The sequence below is a fragment of the Homo sapiens genome, chromosome 18 (assembly GCF_000001405.40).
Source record: "Homo sapiens chromosome 18, GRCh38.p14 Primary Assembly".
Classification (NCBI taxonomy): domain Eukaryota; kingdom Metazoa; phylum Chordata; class Mammalia; order Primates; family Hominidae; genus Homo; species Homo sapiens.
Window position 1 is genome coordinate 49,360,151 of NC_000018.10, and position 17,112 is coordinate 49,377,262.

The window sequence follows — 17,112 nt, forward strand, 5'->3', positions numbered from 1 at the left end:
GTGTTTAAATGGCTGCTCTATTCATTGTGTTTGGAGCCAATTTACTATCTAAAGGTATTTACTGTTTCCATCACCCTGAATGTCACCAAAACATTTTATCAATAAAGGCAAAAAAAAAAAAAAAGCGTGTACTCATTTAAGATATATACTAAATTCCTGGTATTGTGTTATATAAAAAAAAAAAATATTTAGGGCTGAGCGTGGTGGCTCATGCCTGTAATCCCAGAACTTTGGGAGGCCGAGGCGGGCAGATCACAGGTCAGGAGTTCAAGACCAGCCTAACCAACATGGTGAAACCCTATCTCTACTAAAAATACAAAAATTAGCCGGGTGTGGTGGCGCTCGTCTGTAATCCCAGCTACTCAGGAGGCTGAGGCAGGAGAATCGCTTCAACCCAGGAGGCGGAGGTTGCAGTGAGCTGAGATCACGCCACTGCACTCTAGCCTGGGTGACAGAGTAAGATCCATCTCAAAAAAAAAAAGAAAAAAAATTGCAGGTGGTGCTACTTTTAAAATTACATCAGGAACACATGAAGCACTCCACATACCATGACAAAGAAACAGTACACAGTATATGTGTTTCCCTTCCCTGATCTGACCACATGTAAAAGAAACCTAACCACAGTGGCCTAAGCAAGATAGGTATCTATTTTTCTCATGTAAGAGGAAACCCAAAGATATGGGATCCAGGGCCAATGTAATAGTTTCATATTGTCACCAATGTCCCATGCTCCCAGGACACTAGTCTTTGCATGCAATGCTCATTAACATAGTTTCAAGACAGCCCAAGCATTGCCTCCACATTCCAGGAAGGAAGAGAAGGCAATGAGCAAAAGGCTAGAGTGGATATGCTCTGCAAGTTCATGACTTCTGCTCACATATACTTGACCCAAACTATGTCACATGGTCACATGGAACCGCCAAAGTGTCTGAAAAACTAATCTGGGCACACAGCACCACTCTAAACAATACTGGAGTTCTGTTAGAATGGAAGGGGAGAAAGGATGTCATGCAAGTGTCTGCTGCAGGAGCTCCGGTTGAATGGGAAATTGTCCCATTTCCTTCCCTAGGCAATGACTCTTCAGCTGCCTCAGCCCTACTTTCCTGGGTGCATACCACCAGGCCATATCACGACAGGGGTTGGTGGTTCTCACTTCGAAATCTATATTAAAATTCTAGATGCTGCATTCATGTACGACAGCAGCCTGGAGCCTATTTTCTCACAAATACCTGTCTTTCCTTTTGGGGCCATAGACAAATAGCACATTTCCAATTATATCTCCATGTAGACTGAGATTCTGTGATGAGAAACATTAAAATCTACTTTTTTATTTCAAAAATAATTCCTTGTACATATGCATTTTCAACAGGAGATGTAAATTGGTTCCACAGAGGTAAGTAAAAATCTTCATAGATACAATAATAATGGTTTGCGGTCCTCCAAAGGGCTGCAGGACATAAACAGATATTCAGTGTGTCTGGGGATTCAAATTTCATTAAGTGGGAGAGGCAATTATCAAAGAAATGTCAAACAAGGCTTCTCAGGGGGACAATATATTTTTTTAATTTTTTAATTTTTTATTTTTTTTGTGACGTAGTCTCGCTCTGTAGCCCAGGCTGGAGTGCAGTGGCGTGATCTCGGCTCACTGCAACCTCTGCCTCCCGACCTTGGTCCAAACGATTCTCCTGCATCAGCCTCCTGAGTAGCTGGGATTACAGGCATGCGCCACCACGCCCAGCTAGTTTTTGTATTTTTAGTAGAAACGGGGTTTCACCATGTTGGCCAGGCTGGTCGTGAACTCCTGACCTCATGAACTGCCCACCTTGGCCTTCCAAAATGCTGAGATTACAGGCATAAGCCACTGCATCCGGCCTAATTTTTTTTTTTTTTTTTTAAGTAGAGACAGGGTCTCACTATATTGCCCAGGCTGGTCTCCAACTCCTGCATCCAAACAATACACCTGCCTCAGGCTCCCAAAGTGCTGGGATTACAGGCGTGAGACACTGCACCTGGCCAATACTTTTTTTTAAAGGTGGAGAATCACTGCTTTAAAAGTAACAAATGAGGCCAGGCACGGTGGCTCACACCTGTAATCCAGGCACTTTAGGAGGCTGAGGTGGGAGGATCACTTGAAGCTGGGAGTTCGAGACCAACCTGGCCAACATAGTGAGGCCCTGTCTCTACTTTAAATTTTTAAAAGCAACAAATGAGATGAACATTTCGAATCACAAAGGAATTGCATTGAGCTGCAGTGACAGAAGCCCAGTTACAGCAGTGTTAACAAATAAGGGTCTATTTCTGTCACATGAGAAGTCCAGGATGAAAAAAGGTGGTACTGGTAGTTGTTGGCTTTGGTTCAGCAGCTCAATGACATCAAAACAGAATTTTCTGTAAGTCTCTTGGTTCATGGTGCCAAGAAGGCTATGCAACTCAAAAGACTATCCACATTCCAGACAGCAGGAGAAAGGGCTGTTAAGATCAAAAAGATGTGCCTCCTAGCTGACTCAATCAGTTCCTTTTAGAGAGCTTTACCCAGAGGTTTCATTGGAGGACCTTCCCCTACATCTCACTGACTATGCCTAGCTTCAAAGAAGGCTGGAAACGAAAACCTGGCTTCAAAAGAGGCTGGAAATACAATCAGGAAGTCAGGAAGATAAGGAGAACTCAACTCACTGTGTCTACCACAATATGAAGTAGATTCAAACTGCTTCTCTCTTAAAATCTTGTTTCCAAAGATCTATAAGATCTCTTAATACAGAGATTAATTCTGTGCCTACCATATTCTTAATATAGTTTCACTGTTTTCCCCTTAACAACGTAACATTTTTGTTTTGACAATGAATAGTCAGTCTAAATATTAGGTAGAGAGAAAAGAACTCTGTGGATATAGAATCCTTAAAAGGCACACATATAAGTTCTATACAAGGACCCACAAACTTCTCAACATGATCAATGATTATCTGCCATATACAAAGAAGATAAAACAAATCCTGGCCTAGCCAGAACTTACAAGAGTGGAATATCAGTGATCAACTGCATCAAACAGCACAGCAATTCTTCCAAAAGATCTTCTGAGTCAGAACCTGGTAAGACACATAAAAAGATTTTTTTTTAACAAAGTACACAGTAGAATACAGTTGTTCAGAAGTTACATTTTCATTCCTAATGAGAATACAAACAGTTATCATTATATAAACTCAGATATTAATGTTGACCTCTGAATAAAATCCAAATCATGAATAGGTTAGCATCTATGATGATCTTCATCTAGCATAGGACCTTTCAACACCTGCTGTTAATAATACAGCTTTTAAAGCTTGAAGGTACTTTAGGCTCCTGTACGCCAGTAGTTGTCAGATTTCTTATACTGCACTGTGTTTCTTTCAATGAAATCTTACATTAAAGCCAAATATATGAAACAGATAAAAATCAAGCTGCTCTCACTGCTTTGTTTGAAGCAGGGGTAGAGGACTTTTATCCCTCCCTCCCCAACAAATATCTGGCCTTACCCTTGATTTCTTGATGGGAGGGCCTGAAGGTACCTTTTATGAACCTCTGGCACTCCACGGATCATAGACTGAACCCCATTAAAGAGGCCAACCTCCTCTTTACAGACAATGAGTCAAAGGTAAAAGGGCTTTCCCAAGTCACAGAATAAATAAGTGGCAACGGCAGGATGCAAATTACCATTCCAATGGAAATGTTCCCCTATCCCAAACTACTACAGGTAAGTGACCTCCAAATTCCCAAAGTCAGTCAGTATCTCATGTGACTTCTGGTCTTGGACATTACTGACACCTACTCCTTCATGAAATTCTTTCTTTTCTCAGTTCTTATAATACTTTATTTTTAACCAACTTCTTTTTCTATTTCTTCCCAGTGTCTGCTTCCTCAAAATACGTTTCAACTATTGGCATGTTCCCCAGAGTTCCACCATTGTCATGCTTTTTTGTTCATTATCTCATCACCACAGTGCAGCTAAACAAGTTTACTAAATTAAAACTCACTCCTGGGCTGGGTGTGGTGGCTCACACCTATAATCCCAGCATTTTGTGAGGCCAAGGCAGGCAGATCACCTGAGGTCAGGAGTTCGAGACCAGCCTGGCCAACATGGTGAAACCCCACCTCTAATAAAAATACAAAAATTAGTCCAGCATGGTGGCGCACGCCTGTGGTCCCAGCTACTCAGGAGGCAGAGACAGGAGAATTGCTTGAACCCGGGAGGAAGAGGTTGCAGTGAACTGAGGTCGCGCCACAGCACTCCAGCCTGGGTGACAAAACAAGACTGTGTCTCAAAAAAAAAAAAGAAAGAAAGAAAGAAAACTGACTCCTGGACTCCTTTAACCTTCATAACTAGTTAGTATTGTAGTTCCAATTTTACTCCTCTGCAATCCAAACTCCAGATTGCAATCAGACAGAGCTAACTAAACTCCATCCTTTCACTCTCCTGGCTTAGATCTTTTCAATTACTTTAAGCTGATTAATATATATCAGAAAAATTCCATGCTCCAAAGTACAGCATGCCAGACTCTTGGAGATATAGGTCCTGCATCCCTTTCTACATTTATCTTCCTCCAGTACTGCAGTGTATATTCCAGCAATGCCAAGCTATCCACTACATGCCATTTCACACCTCAGTAACATTCCCTCTGCCTGGAATAGCCTCCAACAATAAAAACCTAGTTTTTAAAAAGCCCATCTGTATCCATCTGAACCATCCTCAGTTTCATATCCTCCATGAAACCCACTCCCTTGTCTCACCCTGAATAATCTATAAAGTATCTATGCCTTGTGCATGCCTCTTGCGTTGCATATGTTGGTTACATTATGCCATCATTTTTTGTCTACAAGCAGGCAGGCCCCTACTGGACTCTATACTTCTAGAGGATGATGACTCACAAAGAGCTTGCACATAGTATGTACTCAATACAATTTGCTGAACTGAGCCCAAGCATCTCAGAAAAAATCCAGCAGTTAATTGCAAAGCATCAAAGCACTTGGAGTCTCAAAAAAAAAAAGTTTAGCAATTTCTTTTCTAGGCTACAATATCACCTAGCATTCAGAAATTATAAAGAAATTTCATCCTGCTTTGCCACAAAGAACTGGCACAGTAACCCCGTGAGAGGTAAGTACAAATCTTAAAAAGAATATTAAATCATGCTGAACACAGCAATCGATGCTAAAAAGGATACACAGCAAGACTCAAGTTCAACAACCAAATTAAATCTCACTCCAAGAAACATCGGGCTTGGCTCTATTATTAGTGAAGAAAAAAAAATAAAAGAGTAAGTCACACTTGTCTCTGGGACTGCATGATTAGTTACCAGATCTAACTAAAATCCCTCTCATTGCCAAGGCTGTCCAACATAACTCAAGTTAACAACCTACTCCAACAAGTTGATTTGTTGGTATGTAATATATACTCAATGTACGTTTGCTAAATGGTCACTCCTTAACTCATTCTACAGGATGCAATGTCCCAGGCCCAAGAAAGAACACTTAAAATCACTCAGTGATTCCCTAAGAAACATTTCAGACCAAATGCCAGTTTAATAACATCCCTGTTCAGCCAAGCAGCCAGCACAGTTTTTTAATTACGGAAGGTGAGAGACCAAGCACTCAGGAACCACAGATGGTGCCTGATTTGATTTTTTAACTTCCAGGGGTATAAAAACACCTAATTTTTACATCTTAAAATGATGACAAGGATTCTCTATTCAATTCCATGTGCCACTCAAATCACAACCTCGGCCAAATTTACAGTTGGGTCAATTAAGGAGTATACACACAGCTTTGTTACCAATCTAATAAAATAATGAAGATGATGATAAACATATTTCATAGAAGTAAAATGTAATATTTCAAGGCCAAAGCTCTAACAAAAGACAATAAGCAATTTCCAGCTGAAATATCTTAAGACTTCCATTCACTAAAAAAAAAATTCCTCAGAATTCTAAATTCTTGTTTCTCAGCTAATCTAGAAGTAAATAATTGTATTTTAAGTGAAGATTGACAAGATTTGACTGCTTACTAGGTTTGACATCAAGCAAGCCATTCATATTGCATTATTTCCCAACTAGCACTTATATCACCTTAGCTTTCTTATAAGGCCAAATATCTTCCTTAGTTCCAAAAAATAAATATAAACTCACCTACAAAAAGTATAGTAACACATTCAAGCATTTCATACAGTAAAAAGAATCTTAAAAGTTCTTGAAATTTGCAGGTCAATGACAAAATAAACTGAGGTTCTTTGAGCAAAGGTCTTTGCAAAGATTCAGTGTGTTTACTGTATTGTAAAGTTTTATAACTTAGAGTTCTCTAAGAAAGAACATTTCTCTCCTAAGAGTTCTCTCTCAATGCTTGGTGCAGTGGCACCTGCTATAGCACCAGCTACTCAGGAGGCTGAGGCAGGAGGATCTCTTGAGCCCAGGAGTTGGAGGCCAGCTTGGGCAACATACCAAGACCCTATCTCTTAAAACAAACAAACAAACAAGAGTTCTCCCTTAAAGAGTTTTAAATTACCACAATAGGTCCAGACAAATATTTTAATATTTTAAGTCTTAGTTTCTATAAGATCATATTAACAGCAAACATTTACCAAGTACTCTACCCTTTGACAGGCATTGTGATGAGCACTTTATACTCAATGTCATGTTAACGTTAATCCTGACAGTAACTCTTGATGAATAGTTAATGATTATGATCATCATTTTACAGATGAAGACATCAAGGCTCAGATAGGTTAGTTTAATTAGAGTAAGGGGCAGAAACCAGATTGGAACTCAAATCTATACTCTCAAGGAAAAAAATTAAAAGGAAAATATCCTTTAAATTATTTTTAAAGATATGTTTCTACACAAAGTTGGGGGAAAATATTCAACCAATTCATGTTTTACTGAACACTGTAAACACAAAACCCCAAGTACTATGGGCCCGGTTAGGAGGGAGACATCTGAAGTACTACATATTAGTTTATACATAAAGATGACACACTATGTATTCATCAACACATACTAGAAGTTCTTGACTCCTTCAAAATCCAATGTACAAATAATCTAAAACAATGAATAAATATAAGCTATTATCATCCGTATTGTGCAGAACAAGGTCACTAAAATCCCAGCCCTATCCCTGGAGTTTTCTCACTCTAAAGCCCCACTGCTCTAGTCCCTAAGAACTTCACCAGGGGAAGAAGTAGACAAGCGAGATGATATCTAGGGTCCCTTAAGGTTCTAATAATCTATACCCAAAATTAAGCTGCAGTCCCTGTTAGTTCATTCTATTCAGCATCCATTCAGCACCATGTGCTGAGTGAGACAGCACTGTTGTTTTGTCCTTAGGGAGAGAAGCAGAGAACAGTACAATACTGTCCTAATCAAATGCCTTCCAACACAGTAGGAGGGGAAGGGAAGACAGTAAAAAAATTATTTTTAAAAAGCACTCACTGATCATTAGAAAACAAAGCAACCAGAAAAATGAAACATATGGATTTAAATCAGAATACATACAGTCATTAAAAGAAATGTTAAAAGACAGAGTTTTTGTCTTTGTTTTCTTTGCGTTCAGAAGGTTGAACTGCCAGTTTTTTAATGCTGCCCAAAATTACACTGTGCCAAATACAAGTACTAAAAACTTAATCGAACAGGGCTGTACTCCAAAAATAGGTTAAAAGAGTACCTTAGAAGTTCAGAATAAAATTGGCTTCTTTAAAATGGAAGACACATAATTAAATTATATTTATTAAAAACTTATATTCAGAAAATAAAAGACTCACGGTAGAGTCTATGTTTTTGCCACTTTAATAGTGAAACTAACATTGAAGTTATTCTAAAATATTAGATTTAAACTTCTAATTAGCAAAACCAAAAATGTCTCTTGTAGGTTAATCATAAAGAGGAAAGGCAAAAGGACTCTTCTAAAAAGAAAAGTGATCTGCATTTCAGTGCACTACAGTATTTATAAGCTTGTGTCCTGTACCATTCCAATCAGATCAGTAATAATTCTGGTTGACTGCTATTATTTTGGTCAAACAGAAATGTTTCTAATTACCCTAAAAGATAATATACTCTACCAGGTTTGATTATAAAATGTGCCTATAGAAAAGTTTAATTGATTTTGTTCCACTGATAACATAAGGGAAAGAAAGGGAGAGAAGAGACAGAAATATGACAAAACAATCACACCTATTATATGACCAAAGAACAGTTCAGGAATTCCTAGAGGCACTTTTGTTTTTCTGCAGATACAGATTACAAGTCTTATATATTACAAGTCAATATTTTAAAGGAATAAGTCCATGCTTTCTTTTTTCTCTGGGCCACATTTTTCCATATGGGTTTGTTTTTTGCATTGCTTACCTATAACTAATAAGGTTAAATTATTAAATTTGGTATTTAAACAAATAAAGCAAAAACCACCCAACCACATACTATACAATTTTGGGTTTACCTCCTGAGCTACCTACCGCCTGCCCCAGTCTCTAGGGCCCAGTTCCAGCAGAGAAAAGAGAGCAGAGAACCTGCTGCCGTGGCAGCCGAAGCACCTGAGCCATCTGGAAAAACAAAGCTGGTTTCACAGGACTCACCGCCACCGAGTTTGGCAAAACAAACATGCCACAGGTTTTGAAGGTGATTCCAAAGAAAGAGTTTCAAAAATGTTTTAAGTCTGGGGAGAATGGAAAGGAAACTGCTTGTGTTAGACAGGGGGTAATTAACAAATTTTAAATATACTTCCACAAATTTCCTATCTTGTATCACTTTTTTGTTTCGTTTTGATCTCTCACAAGTCAGCCACTGCCTTCACTGTTTGGAATCCTTGGCTCTCCACTGACCTGCCAGCGTGAGGCCAATGCTGACTGAAAGCGCGGTGTGCACAGGCAGAGCCTGCCAAACGGCGGTTCCCACTGGAGGGTTTCGGGCTGCTTCACTAGGGGACGCTGAAATGTAAGCCTTTTCCCCGTTTTGGTTCATTTTCTCTATAAGAGTATCCACTAATCTGGCAGGAAAGGGAATAGGGTGGGTAAAATCCTGGTGCCAGCATTCTAGCAGCCTAGTCAAGATACCTTACCCTTCCATATGTGGCCTTTCCACTGAGCCCTCGTCTCAGTAGGCCACCCTCCTTCCCCATTGCCTGAGAGTTCATTCAGGAGACTCTCTGGGTTCAGCCTCTATGGATAACAGATCTCTAGTATTAAACTGGGAAGGGGGGTGGCCTCCTAACACATGGGAAGGGACAGAACCTTGGACAGAACTGCTTCTTCCAACCAAGCCTGAATGCCTTCAGAGACCCCTGGCACTTCTGATTCCTAAGACTTTCCAGGGTTCTGGAGTAAGAACTGGCTTTTTTTCTGGAGTTCTCCAACCTTGAAGCCATTTAGCTTTCAGCTTTCACAGATCAGTGAAGCTCATCATTACTCCATTTTCCAACTTTCAAAATGTTATTAACATTGTGTTCCCCTCTCTTCTTCAATCTAATAAATTCATGACTTTTTAGAAGTCCCTTTGCTGATATTTTATTGGAGTTCCAGGAGAAAGCAAACATGCATGTTTAATCTACTATGCTTGAGAATAAGTCCCACAAAATAATTTTTTAAAAATAAGTTTATATTGAAACTGTTTTGTGCCATGGAAGTGCCATTAAAGCCAGGCTTCCGCTTGGCTTTGTCGAGTCCCTGTCCCTTTTCTACTCTCCACAAAGCTGTACTCACAGGTCATACAGTGTCTTGGGCCTAGCACCTTGCTCGCCCCAGGTCTGGGCAGCTGATCTGCTGCCTCCCTCCCCTCAGTGCTCACAGAGCTGCCCACTGGGCCACAGGTGGTAATCTCTTTCAAAACAGGAATAACGCTGGGCGCAGTGGCTCACGCCTATAATCCCAGTACTTTGGGAGGCCGAGATGGGCGGACCACTTGAGGTCGGGAGTTCAAGACCAGCCTGGCCAACACGGTGAAACCCCCGTCTCTACTAAAAATACAAAAATCAGCTGGGCATGGTGGCCCACGCCTGTAATCCTAGCTACTTGGGAGGCTGAGGCAGGAGAATTGCATGAACCTGGGAGGCGGAGGTTGCAGTGAGCCAAGGTCGCACCACTGCACTTCAGCCTCGGAAACAAGAGCGAAACTCCATCTCAGAAAAAAAAAAAAAAAAAAACAAAACAGGACTAACTCCCTCTCTGGGCTCTTCATCCTAGCACCTCCTACTTCCCTGGACCTTCCTTTCAGCTTTATTTCCCACCACCCCCACTTTGTTGCTTTTATCTTCAGCCTCTCAATCTCCAAAGGCTTCTTCCCTCATTTAAAAAATAAATAAACAAAAAATAATTGTAAAGAAACTATAGGCGGGTTCAGTGGCTCACACCTGTAATCCCAGCACTTTGGAAGGCCAAGGAGGGCAGATCACTTGAGGTCAGGGTTTGGGACCAGCCTGGCCAACATGGTGAAACCCCATCTCTACTAGAAATATAAAAATCAGCTGGACATGGTGGCATGCGCCTGTGATTCCCAGCTACTCGGGAGGCTAAGGCAGGAGAACCACTTGAACCCAGGAGGTGGAGGTTGCAGTGAGCCAAAATCGTGCCACTGCACTCCAGCCTGGGAAAGAGAGCAAGACTCTGTCTCCAAAATAAAAGAAAAAGAAACTATCATTGCAGCATGGTGGAGTAGTTACTCCAATAAGCCCTCCTGTACAAAACATCTAGTTCTTGGCTAAAATAACACTTTTTAGTGCATTGATGGGCTTCCCAGAATGTAAAGCAAATTTCTAAGGACTCCAACCCTATAACCAAAAGAACAACCTACGAGCAAATAAATGGACTTGAATCCAGAGTAAAACACTGAGAAGTAAGCAAACGCTAAGATAGGTAACCCTGAGGATGAATGCCAGTTAGAATGAAGCCCACTGACTAAGCCTCAGTCAGTGGCAAGGAATGGGGCCTGAACCTGAGACTCCACATTAAGTCAAGAATTGCTGCAGGATGCTAACATGGCATCAGGTGTTACAGGCCCTGGATCCCTTTAGAAGCAAATGCAAATCTCTCCCTTATTTGGAGCCTCAAATAAGATCAAACAAGGCTAAGTGTGGTGGCTCATGCCTATAATCCCAGTGCTTTGGAAGGCCAAGGCAGGAGGATTGCTTGAGGCCAGGAATTTGAGACCAGCCTGGGCAACATAGTGAGACCCCATCTCTACCAAAAATAATCTTTAAAAATTAGCCAGGCTTAATGGTATGTGCCTGTAGCCCTAGCTATTCAGGAGGCTGAGGCTTCAGTGAGCTGTGACTGTGCCACTGCACTCTAGCCTGAGTGACAGAAACTCTGTCTCAAAATAATAATAATAATAATACAATCAATGACATCAAATACACAAGGAAACAAGCCATGAGAAGCGTTTCCAAAAACAAACAGCAGATTTAGGCCCCTAAGGATTTAAAATATTGGATTTATAAGACGCCAAATGTGAAATAAATATCAGTATTACCTTGGCAAGAATGGGGTATAATACCAAGCCAGAGGAAAGAAAAACTCACATTGAAGGCAAAAGGAAAATGGAAACAATTTTGTATTACTTCATAGTTTTGCCTAGGGCTGGCTTTGTCCCCTTTGACTGATTCTCAAACGCATGGACTAATGGAAGAGCTATCCTCATATAATAATACAAATTCTCCCTAACAATCTGCTACCACATCATACATAGCCTATGGGAAAATGTTCAAATACAAAATCCTCACAAATTTAGATTACAAACTAAGAGCTTACTGACAGTCACATTACTCTCATAAAGACTGCTTCACTGAAAATGCCAGCAATATCCATGTGATCACAGCAGTATTACAATGGATTGGAATAAAGAAAAAAATGCTGTATGTGGAATAAGCCAACATACCTAAGATGCCTCAGTTGACTTTGCTCAATTGTTTGCAGATGGCCCTCTACTTTTGTAAATTCGACCTTCAAACAACCTGTACCACTGTATATTATCGACCCCACTCTTTCATATACCTAAATCAGATATCATATATCAGCTGATAAATGGATGTCTTCAGCTACTGCATGGTGATGCTCCATTTTTCCCCCTTTCAACAGTATCTCTGTAATCATTTAATTTTATTGCTCTTTTATCAACTGTAAAAAGAAATTGGCAGAAAATATAAAAAGGGCTAAAGTAGAAATCTCAAACTAACAACATGGAAGACTAAGGTAAAAATAATTACATATGCCAAAAACAGAAAGTTTTTAGTCTTAAAAGATATTCATTGGACTTAAGCTGGTGGACCAAGAGTAGGCTCAATTATAAACACTAAAGAACATGTATAGGGCCGGGTGAGGTGGCACATGCCTGTAATCCCAGCACTTTGGGAGGCCGAGGCAGGCAGATCACCTGAGGTCAGGAGTTCGTGACCAGCCTGGCCAACATGGCAAAACTCCGTCTCTACTAAAAAAATACAAAAATTAGCCAGGCATGGTGGCAGGCACCTGTAATCCCAGCTACTCAGGAGGCTGATACAGGAGAATTGCTTGAACCTGGGAGGTGGAAGCTGCAGTGAGCCGAGATTGCACCACCGCACTCCAGCCCAGGTGACAGGGCAAGACTCTGCCTGAAAAAGAAAAAACCATGTATAAAATCCTGAACTGTCAACTCTGTATAAAGGAAGCATATATTCACAATGATAGGTTCAAATTAAAAAAAAAGAAAGAAAAGGTCTGTCAGTATGCAGACAGAATCACAGAGATTACCACAGAGATGGCTCTTTCAGTGAGATAACCATCTTGATAAAGTGGCCTATGGTTGAAAAAGTGTCATTCTCCCACTACCCTTACATTAGGTTACCTAGGATGCACAACAAAAAACCTTGCTTCTCAAGCTTGGACAAGGGTGGGGGGTGCAGGGATACTCTGAGATTTGGACCCCAAAATAAATACAGTATATCTCTAAAATGCATCAATTCACTTAATGGTATATAATGAAAAATAATTTTATATTACAATAAAAATGATATTGTTACAGGACAGAGAAATATGTTACAGGAAAGGGGTCCCAATCCAGACCCCAAGACAGGGTTCTTGGATCTCGTGCAAGAAAGAATTCAGGACTAGTCCGCAATGCAAAGTGAAAGCAAGTTTATTAAGAAAGTATAGGAATGAAAGAACGGCTACTCCAGAGACAGAGCAGTCCCCAGGGCTGCCAGTTGCCCATTTTTATGGTTATTTCTTGACTATATGCTAAACAAGGGGTAGATTATTTATGCCTCCCCTTTTTAGACCATATAGGGTAACTTCTTAAGATTGCCATGGCATTTGTAAACTGTCATGGCGCTGGTGGGAGTGTAGCAGTAAGGATGACCAGAGGTCACTCTCGTGGCCATTTTGGTTTTGGTGGGTTTTGGCTGGCTCCTTCACTGCAACTTGTTTTATCAGCAAGGTCTTCATGACTGGTATTTTGTGCCAACTTCCTATCTCATTCTGTGACTTAGAATGTCTTAACTGTCTGGGAATATAGCCTGGTAGGTTTCAACTTAATTTACCCAGCTCCTATTCAAGATGGAGTTGTTCTGGTTCCCATGCCTCTGACAATATCACGTTAAATAAAGTAAAAATATGCACATTTTGTAGGACATAATACAAAACAAAGTGCTGGGTTTGCAGGTATTGAGTGGGCTATGCTCTTGGGCCCTGTGAGGATAAACATTCACTCCATTCTTGCTGCTAGCACTTCATGGGAAGGTTTGCAACTTACCAAGCAGAACTATGTTTTTGGTACTACTGGCATCACAAACATGAAGGCCAGCATTAACAAAACTAACACACGCAAGACACAATTCTAATTAAAAGCTCTAACTTCAGACATCAGTATATATTTAAAAAATATAGAAGGCTAATGATCAAAATAGTAAATTAAACATATCCATCTCTTGAAACTCAAACTCAATGTATAAAGCACAAGCTCTGAAAATCATGCTAAATGATAAACAATAACTGTGAAAGATGATGGGGTGGTTTGGGAATAGTTAAATTAATTAGATTCTACATAATTCTCACAAATATTCTCTCCTAGAAAAAAATAAAGTATATAACATTCAAAATACCAAAATTCTGCAGTATCTCTCACACACCAACTTAGTTAACTTCCTCAAAATCCTTGATTAAGTCTATACTATAACATACAGTTATATGGTAGTCAGAGAACATAATGGTCAATCCCAAAAGAAGATCAAGACCAGCAAAAAATCTAGCTATATTCAGAAACAACTTAGAAGGTCTTATGTTCCTTTCCTACTTAGTGACTGAGAAAGAGACAGAAAATGTATTTTGCCTGTGAAAGTTTAGGGGGAAGAGGAAGCAGTACCTGTTTTTCCAGTACCACTAATCAAATGTGGAGTCAAAGGGACTTTTATTATTGAAATAAATTTTGGTGAAATGACAAATGCTCAATCTCTAAAAATATTAGGATGGTTCAGTTTGCTTCCTGTGCCTCAGCTCCCTTTTCCAAGGTAGCTTAATGAAAGGTAGCTTCAATAAAATTTGGCTGCCTAGGCCAGGCCCAGTGGCTCACACCTGTAATCCCAGCACTTTGGGAGGCCGAGGTGGGCAGATCACATGAGGTCAGGAGTTCAAGACCAGCCTGACCAACATGGTGAAACCCCTGTCTCTACTAAAAATACAAAAGTAACCGGGCATGGTGGCACATGCCTCTAATCCCAGATACTTGGGAGGCTGAGGTAGGAGAATCACCTGAACCCAGGAGGCGGAGGTTGCAGTGAGCCGAGATCGTTCCATTGCACTCCAACCAGGGCAACAAAAGTGAAACTGTCTCAAAAAAAAAAAAATTGGCTGCCTATCTTTTTTAGAGCAGAATCTCAAAAGTTCAACAGGAATTACTTCAGAGTAGAAAGCACAGAATCCAAGAAAGGAATGGCTGATCTACAGTGAAACTGGAGAGTTGTTTCCCCTGAGAAGACAAGGTAAACATTTTTATCCAAGGGAAATACTCGTGGGGCAGCCCCTAAACACCTGGGGCTCTCACAGTTACAAAGCGGGAAAGGGGAAAAGACACACACACACACACACACACACACACACACACACATCTATACCTACCTTGGGCTTTAGAAGAAAAAAATATATATATATAAACATATATACACATATATATATGTATATATACACACACACATATTCATTGTCATTTTATTCACCCTTTATAGGAAACTATTCTTAATAAATTATAACTTGGTACAGTATCTGAAATTTAACATTTTTTTAACAGCATCAAAGAGAATTTCAGTACCTATCCCCTTCCCCCTATCCCCCAAAGTTAATGAGGTAGTAATTCATACTAACTCAAAACTGGACAAAACAATAAGTGACCTTCCATGAAATGGTCTTCTGGGACAGAAGGGAAAATAAAAGATGACAGCAAATAAAACTGCTAAAATTGATATGCTTGCTTTATTCAAGAATAATAAAGTTATCCACATTTTAACTATGAAATGTAGAATAATACCTGAGATACTGTGATGGTTAATATCGAGTGTCAACTTGATCGGATTGAAAGATGCAAAGTACTGTTCCTGGATGTGTCTGTGAGGGTGTTGCCAAAGGAGATCAACGTTTGAGTCAGTGGACTGGGAGAGGCATACCCACCCTCAATCTGGGTGGGCACCATCTAATCAGCTGCCAGGACAAATAGAATAAAGCAGGCAGAAGAACATGGAAGGAACAGACTTGCTGAGTCTCCTGGCCTTCATCTTTCTCCCATGCTGGATGCTTCTTGCCCTCAAACACTGGACTCCAGATTCTTCTGTTTTTGGACCCTTGGACTTACACCAGTGGTTTGCCAGGGACTCTTGGGCCTTCAGACACAGACTGAAGGCTGCACTGTCAGCCCTACTTTTGAGGTTTTGGGACTCAAACTGGCTTCCTTGCTCCTCAGCTTGCACAGGGCCTATTGTGGCACTTCACGTTGTGATCATGTGAGTCACTACTCCTTAATAAACTCCCCTTCATATATACATCTATGCTATTTGTCCTGTCCCTCCAGAGAACCCTAATACAATAACTTTCAAAGAAAAGTAGAACATATGATTTCCCTTCCCTGCAACCAGCCAACTATGTCATCTGTTGGAAAGAAACTTTAGAACACTTACGAAACAAACTTAATTGTGATATTTTTAATTCAGTATGCTCTCAAGGATGAAACTTGAATTTAAATACACTCAACCATATTTGTCCAGTATCAGTAGAGGAAAACAAAAATGTTTCCACATAAACAGAAAACAAAAGATTGCTGATATCTTGCTCAAGCACAAACTAGAGTCTGCTCATCTATCTGCCTATTTGGGGACAGGGCATATGTAAACTGCAGCAAATTCCATTTAGTCTACAAACTTCTGACCAAAGAAAATGAAGAGCTCTTGCCTGCTAAATGTTCTGCATGCCTTGCACACAGCATTGCTATGAGGCAGTAGTTTCCTGCCCTGTGATGTTTGCCACCTTTCAGTTTTCTCAAAACCTGCAGAACTTAGTGAGATTCGGACCTTACAGAAATGAAAGGCGATAGACTCCTTGGACATGAACCTGCCAAATGGCTATCAAGGTGGCCAGTCACAGAAAAGCTGTTAAAATGTTAGAAGATGGTAAAATCGTATTTTCAAAGTGTGAGTCAAGAAGAATGTCCTTTTCTAATTTGGAAATACACTGAGGATAAGAATGAAGAAAAAGATTGCAGTAAAACAGAAATTCATATTCTATTTCTCCAAAACCGTTTCCTGATCTTGAAAGAGGCCATAAGGAGCCTAAAGAAGGATGAAATGACTGTCCTAAGTTGCTCAACAGTATGTGTAGAAAATTGCTCTACCATCAGGTAATGGGGTCTCAGAGGGAGAAGAGATAAATACACATGGTCACTCTGCTACTTGAGTTGAAAGTATTGTAAACTATTGTTTTCTTGTACCATGTCATTTCATTTGCTCAAAATGTAACATAATACCTTAATACATTTAAATGATATAACCAGAATTTCCATAAGATTTTTGCCATCTAAAAATAGTTTTAAGAAATGCTTGAATGCACAAAAGGTTAACTTTCCACAGAATCTTTTCTACTTCCCCATAATATTG

General features: G+C 40.1%; 1 protein-coding gene across 41 annotated transcripts in view; it reads right to left on the minus strand.

Moving 5' to 3' along the window:
• The window catches only part of DYM (dymeclin), a 424,259-nt gene that overhangs the window by 323,764 nt on the left and 83,383 nt on the right, over positions 1 to 17,112 (minus strand). For 37 of the 41 annotated variants that reach the window (NM_001374439.1, XM_047437559.1, XM_047437553.1 and 34 more), the window contains one exon: positions 3,011 to 3,083. The exons of the other annotated variants lie outside the window; for them this stretch is intronic. In NM_001374439.1, coding sequence (NP_001361368.1) covers positions 3,011 to 3,083 — 73 coding nt within the window. The remainder of the gene's footprint in view (positions 1 to 3,010; positions 3,084 to 17,112) is intronic. 41 annotated transcript variants of the gene reach the window in all.